The 6823-nt window shown below is 51.1% G+C and overlaps 2 annotated features.

The window, feature by feature from the left end:
* Positions 1519–2018: an enhancer, noted in NCBI's record as "H3K4me1 hESC enhancer chr9:96089133-96089632 (GRCh37/hg19 assembly coordinates)". NCBI's record gives its function as "activates a minimal SCP1, AML or CMV promoter by ChIP-STARR-seq in primed H9 embryonic stem cells {active_cell/tissue: H9 hESC(primed)}" and the evidence as "EXISTENCE:reporter gene assay evidence [ECO:0000049][PMID:30033119]".
* Positions 2019–2520: an enhancer, noted in NCBI's record as "H3K4me1 hESC enhancer chr9:96088631-96089132 (GRCh37/hg19 assembly coordinates)". NCBI's record gives its function as "activates a minimal SCP1, AML or CMV promoter by ChIP-STARR-seq in primed H9 embryonic stem cells {active_cell/tissue: H9 hESC(primed)}" and the evidence as "EXISTENCE:reporter gene assay evidence [ECO:0000049][PMID:30033119]".

Below are 6823 nucleotides of genomic sequence, written 5' to 3'. Positions count from 1 at the left end.
TATTTAATTGTTGTAGCTTGTAGTTGACAATCATGAAGTTTGTAAAATGATAGAGCTTGTCATCAGCGTCTAGCAGCTGATCCAACAAGGACAGGTGAAGAAAAAGTTACCTGAGCTTCACCATCTGTGTTGTTTCCTTGTTTGGTTGGTGATGCTTACTCACATCAATCCATTGATTTGAAAGAATAGGTTTCATCTTTTGGACTAATTTAAGTATGCCAAAATCTTTAATTAGCCATTTTAGAACCTTTCTGCAAGTAAGACATTTCTAGGCTAGGTGTGGTGGCTCACATCTGTCCGAACATTTTGGGAGGCCAAGGTAGGCAGATTGCTTGAGGCCAGGAGTTTGAGACCAGCCTGGGAAACATAGCGAGGCCCTATGTCTACGAAAAGTAAAGTGGGCCGGGCATGGTGGCTCATGCCTTGGCCACCTTTGGGAGGCCAAGGTGGGCGGATCACCTGAGGTCAGGAGTTTGAGACCAGTCTGGCCAACATGGGGAAACCCTGTCTCTACTAAAATACAAAAATTAGCAGGGCATGGTACAGGCACCTGTAACCCCAGCTACATAGGAGGCTGAGGCAGGAAGAATGGCTTGAACCCGGAGGTAGAGGTTACAGTGAGCCGAGATTGCACCACTGCACTCCAGCCTGGGTGACAGAGCAAGACTCTGTCTCAAAAAAAAAAAAAAAAATGTAAAGTGAACCCAGCGTGATGTGAGCCTATAGTCAGCTACTCAGGAGGCTGAGGCGGGAGGATGGCTTGAGCCAGGGAGGTCGAAGTTTCAGGGAGCTGTCATCTCACCACTACACTCCAGCCTGGGCAACAGAGGGAAACCCCATCTCTATTTAAAAAAAAACAAAACTCTAATGTGATTTAATATCCTTGTGTAGATTTGACTTAAGAAGATAGAACATTCCATCATACTCCTTTTCTTAAAGACTACCTAGAAGACTAATGAGTGATTTGATCACATAGTTGAATCAGTGTTATAATAAAAAGAACACTTTACTAAATTCTCGATAATGTTCTGAAGTTTTCCAAAAGTGTAGTCTATATAGATCTTTATTTTTCAGACTATTTAAATATTTTTGAGATTTAGTTTGTAGTAACATCTAGCATCCTAGGAAAACACAAATACTGTGTGACAGCTCATATACTTTTTTCTTTTTAATTTTCATTCAAATTTCAGGGTGCTTTGTTTCTCCCCTTCAATTTTAATTTTAATAGCAGCTGTAAACACTTTGCTTCAAAATTATGGTAAATCATGACACAAAAGAGGTCTCAAGCAGAGTTTTTTTCTTTTCATTTTACTATAGCTAGCTTGTGACCACATCTACATCTTGTTATTGCTTGGCATAGCACATACCTTTTATAACAATACTCTTTGTAATAACTTATTTAACTACAAGGAACTCATAGCCGACTCAACAGTAGTATTTTAAGTTGTTAGTTCATATATTAGATGTACACTTGACACGGTTTGTAACATTTAAAACACACATTATTAATTTAAAGCTTTTGATGTGCCACATAGTTTAATATTAACTTGCTGAATGTAAAATGGACTCAAAGTTTCCTTTTGGAGTATGTTGAAAGATTATCAAGGTTATAGTTATTGGTTATACATAATTATGTGGTTATAGTTATTTGTTTCTTAAAAATGAACAATCTTAAAGTTTAGAAACGTAACAGTACTTGGAACATTGTTCTGCATCCTTGTGAACAAAAGAAGATCCAGTGATACTTAGAGGAGAGAGACAAACTTTGGAAGCTGTCTGTTGACTATTAAGAGACTTGTCTTCCTCTTAGAGGTGGGACCAATGACTGGGAGTGATATAGGGAGGATAAGACCTGTCTCTAAAATTGCTGTGAATATTGTCCACGTAGAGTGCACTTTACTTCAGCATAGGTTGTGAATGAAAAGTATATTGATGTGCTAGAAAGGCTTTAACCAAAGGCCTGAGCTTGTCAAGCCTGAGGCCGGCACGTGGCGTGAGCGTGGTGAATGTGCAGCGGCCTCTGCCCGCACCCAGCTCCCCGGCTCTGGGTCATGAAGGGCCGCTGGGCGTTTCTCCGCATGGTGCCTGTGTCTCCTGCATTGTTAGGAGCTCCTGCTTCTCACTCCAGTTCCTCCTTCTCACTCCTGCTTCCTCCTCCAGTTAGGATCGTCAAATACAAAGTCACAAAAGGATGGCTTAGCCGAGTTCAATCTCTTCCTGAACTGTGCCATATGGAAGTATATGTCAACTCGTGAGCAAGGTGGACAGCGTGAGTTCAGTCTTCATCTAAATGCAGCCCTGGACAGTCAAACACTTCACTATTATGCTAATTCATCCACTGTGGACATATCACATTTTTGGTTATGATGATTCTTCATCTTTGAGGGCAATAGACACCACCTATGTTTTGAGAAGGTCCTCGCAGAAGCAATGATATGTGGAATAAACAGAACGTCAAGCCTGCCTGGGCAAAGTTCAGGTCCCTCCAGTTTACTGAGGAACCAAAAGAGACTGCAGTTGCCAGTCTCTCTCCAAAAGCTAATTCTAGTGCCAAGCTCATGGGATACCGGGCACACATGGATTCCAGACAAGCGACCCATGTATTCCACTCAGAGTCAAGGGCATGGTCGTGTTGAGTCAGACACTGAGTCTCCAGATATGCTGTGAGGACAGGACGTCGTTCTCCCAGGAAAGGAGCTACTAGGAAGACAGTGGGGGAGGAAGCGGGTGCAGCAGTAAGCATCCACCTTCAGCCTCCCTCCACCGCCCCCTCCCCTCCCCCACTCAGTGTCTTATTCAGATGCTGCTGGGTGGGGCCTGGATGTCTGTATTTTTTGCAGGTTCCTCTCAGGATTCGGATGCAGAGCAAAGCTGGGGCCCATCCGAGGGCATCGCTTGAGACTTGCGAAGGGGATGCTTATTTCCCCAGGTCCAGCCCACAGGCCCCTAGCCTCTCATGGCTCCTGACCTTGTGGTCCACGGTGTGACCAGCCTGTCCTCCCACCCCCAGGCTCTGTTGTCTGCCATCTGTTGTCTGTGGCTTAGCTGCAGGGTGTAGCTCTCACAGGCTCCTGTCCTGCCAGCTTCCTTGGGGTCCAGCCCCCGGGGAACCCCAGAAGGATAGCAGGGGCAGGGGCAGGCTGGGGCCAGGCGCTGAGCCTCCCAGCTCCTTCCTGCGAGGCCACCTCAGCTGGCTCTGTCGTGGGCTGCAGGCCGTGCTCCTCTTCCGGGGTGACTCTCACAGCTGTGTTCCTTGGGGCTCCTCCAACGTGACCCTCCTGTGGCGGCCCCAGGCCTGGAGCCGGTCATGGCTGGATGGGGACGGCCTCCGGTTCCTGCCTGCGTGTGTTTCTTGACGCTGCTCTAAGGTCTCACCACAGCCTGGCAGTCTCAAGCAGCACAAACTTATTACCCTCCTGTCCTGGAAGACAAAACTGAAAATCAGTCTTGCTGGGCGAAAGTCAAGGTCTGGGCAGGGCGGGCTCCTGCTGGGGGCTCCTCCTGCCTTCTCGGACTTCCCAGGCTGCCCAAGGCCCTGGGCTGCTGCCCGGTCCTCCCCTCCTGGTCTCCACTCAGCATCTGCTCTCCGGGTCCTGCTGCTGCTGTCACACTTCCTCCCCTGACCCCTCCCTCCTGCATGGAGGGACCCTGAGATGATGCTGCATCTGCCTGGCTCATCATGGCCTCTCCCCACCTGAAGATCCTGTCCCAAGTCCCATCAGCGAGGGTGCTGGTGCCATGTGAAGATGACATGCACAGGACCAGGCATTCACATGTGGGCCCCTTGAGGGGACATTATTCTGTCTACCAACACTGCCTTCCAGACACCCACACTTTTGGAAACAGTCCCTTGTGTATGAACCTTCCTCAAAGTCACCCAATTCCAGCACTGTCTGTTTCCCTGACAGGGTGTGCTGTCCTTGGCTCTTATTTCAAAGCAGGTCGAGAAGGGAAACCCATGCCTGTCAACATTCCCTAAGCCCACTGTGCTGCCTGAACAGGTAAGCCTGTGGGGACCGTGGCTGTCCACTGTGGCTTCTGACTCTTGTTACCCTCCACGCAGCCGCAGGCTCCTCCAGCTCCGCCTGAGCTTCCCCAGGGGCTGCGTCCTCACCTTCGTTCCTCACCCTGCCCAGGATCTGGCTGCTCTCGCGTCCCCTGCCCACCCCTCCTCCATCCACACACCCTCTTCCCTCTCCCCAGCCTCCACTCACTCACTCCACAGAATCAGGCTGAGCGCCTCCCTCATAGGAACAGGAGGAAATAGGAAGTGAAACAGACAGGACTTCTGTGCCCAGGTGGCCGGCAGCAATGGGGAGGCTGGAGGGGGATGGAAGGGGACATACATGGGATCCCCTGTGGCCTCCATGGTGCATCGTCACACTCTGAGAAGTGAGACAGGAGGTCCACAGGGAAGGCCACGTTCAGAAGGGAGCACAGGGGCATCAGGCTGACCCGGCCTTGAGTTGGAGAGGTTGCCTACGGAAGTGAGGCTGGAGCAGGGACCAGGCGCCGAGTAGGCATTTGTGAGGCCCTAGGAGGACGGAGCCGGGCCCCTCAGGGCTCAAGGGACCCCGCCTAGTGGTGGGGCTCAGAATGAGGGGAGCAGCAGGTAGGAAAGACCTGGAGAGGGCAGAGCTGGGCAAGGAGGCTGGACCAGAGCATCCATTGTTTGAAGAGATCATGCAGGCTGCAGTGAGGAGACTGGATGGAAGGGTGTTTGGGGACATTTCAGCTAAAACATCTACTCAGCTGTTCACAGCCCACATTTGGGAAATGAGGGGACAAGGATGAGTCTGAGTCCTAGACTGAGAATGAACCAGGTGACTGGTCATGCCAGCCTCGGAAACTGGGACATCTGGGAAGACCCCATGAAGCTTGGGAGTGATATCGTTTTACAACGTGGAGCATCTTCAAGATGACTTTGAGGGTCTCCATGGAGAGGGGGAGAGGCAGCTGGATTTATGGGTCTGGCAGCTCACAGAACCTTGAGCTGGTGATCAAATTTGGAGGGCTTGGGCTCAAAAGGATCAACTGTTAGGAACTGCTATTGCTCCAAAGCCCTCCTGCCCCGGCCCACACAGCCTCACTGGGAGGCAGAACCAGCTGGCGGCAGCTCCGACCCCTGCAGCCCAGGACCCTGGTCTCTGCTGTCCACCACAGTGAGAAATGAATGATTCTTCACAGAGTTGCATGGGACAACATTGTCTCCCCATCCAGCCTGGCCTCGGGCAGCCTTCGACCCCCAGTGTCCTCTCAGGGTGAGGGACTCTTCTCCACACCTCTGCAGGACTGCATGAGCCACCACCAGCACAGTGATGCCTGTGGCATGTGGGCCTTCTGCCCCCTCTCAAGGGCAAGTCTAATAAAGCCAAGTTCAGGGACCACAACCACGATGTGTACAGAGTGGTCACCATTGCTGAACTCCCTTAACCACCTGGAAGGCAGGCGTCCTGGCCCAGGCTTAATTGCATCCTCTAATGAATGAAGACAGGCTTCTTCAGGTGTTTTATTTTTGTTTTTGTTTTTTTTGTTGTTGTTTGTTTTAGAGACAGGGTCTCACTCTGTCACCCAGGCTGGAGTGCAGTGATGTGATCACGGCTCACTGCAGCCTTGACCTCTTGGCCTCAAGTGATCCTCCTGCCTCAGCCTCCCAAAGCACCGGGATTACAGGCATAGGTCACTGCGCCTAGCCTTACCAGCCCTTTAGTAATAAGCACTTTTCAGAGAATTGAAGCTGTTCAGCCTGGAGATGAGGCGCAATATCACCCTGGACACTGGAAGTCTGGTTGGATGCTGGGGTCAGCTAAAAACAAAACAACACTGGAGAGCAGAGGCTGTGGCTTGGCTGCCTTGACCCTGCAGGAGGAGCTTGGACTGGCCCCAGGTGATGCTGCCTTTGCTGTCCTAGGAGAGGCCTGGCAGGGTCCTTTCCATCCCAGAAATGCTGTGATCAGAGCCAATAAGCACCCACTGGAAGCTTCATCTGCCCAAAGGAGTCTGCCTTCATCAGCATAATTCATTGCGCGCCAGCTTCACTCAGTGACTGTTTTGGAAGGTGAAGGGCTATCAGAAACAATTTTAAGTCCCTGCTTTCAGGAAGTCAAGCATAACAAATAATATGCACCCATGAGAACTCTCCATGAGGGGCTGAGGTCTCTGGGGCTCTCGTGAGCTGTCCACCCAGACTGTGTGATAGAACCCAGAGGAGGAGAGAACCCGGGACTGGGAGGGTCAAGAATGAATCCGGAGCTGGGCGCGGTGACTCATGCCTGTAATCCCAGCACTTTGGGAGGCCGAGACAGGTGGATCACGAGGTCAGGAGATGGAGACCATCCTGGCTAACACGGTGAAACCCCGTCTCTACTAAAAATACAAAAAATTAGCCAGCCTGGTGGCAGGGCTGCCTGTAGTCCCAGCTACTCAGAAGGCCGAGGCAGGAGAATGATGGGAACCCGGGAGGCGGAGCTTGCAGTGAGCCGAGATCGCGCCACTGCACTCCAGCCTGGGCGACAGAGCGAGACTCCATCTCAAAAAAAAAAAAAAAAGAAAAAGAAAAAAAAGAATATCCGGGCCCAGCTGGCACGCTGTGCAGCAGCAGTGAAGCCTGAAGCACGGACGCGTCTAGTGGGTGAGGCTGAACACCAAGAGCCTTGGATTCTGCGGCTGAGGCTTGGGGCCTTTTCCTAGCGGCCCTGGAGGGCTGCTAGGTGGTTCTGAGCAGCAGATGAAGCTGGGATTCGGGGCCCCAGAGTCCTGGAAGTGCACTGTGCAGAATCTCCTCAGAGGGTGCTGGCTTGACCATTACCATTTCATTGACCAT

The sequence above is a fragment of the Homo sapiens genome, chromosome 9 (genome assembly GCF_000001405.40).
Source record: "Homo sapiens chromosome 9, GRCh38.p14 Primary Assembly".
Taxonomy (NCBI): Eukaryota; Metazoa; Chordata; class Mammalia; order Primates; family Hominidae; genus Homo; species Homo sapiens.
This window is presented reverse-complemented; position numbering and strand designations above follow the sequence as displayed.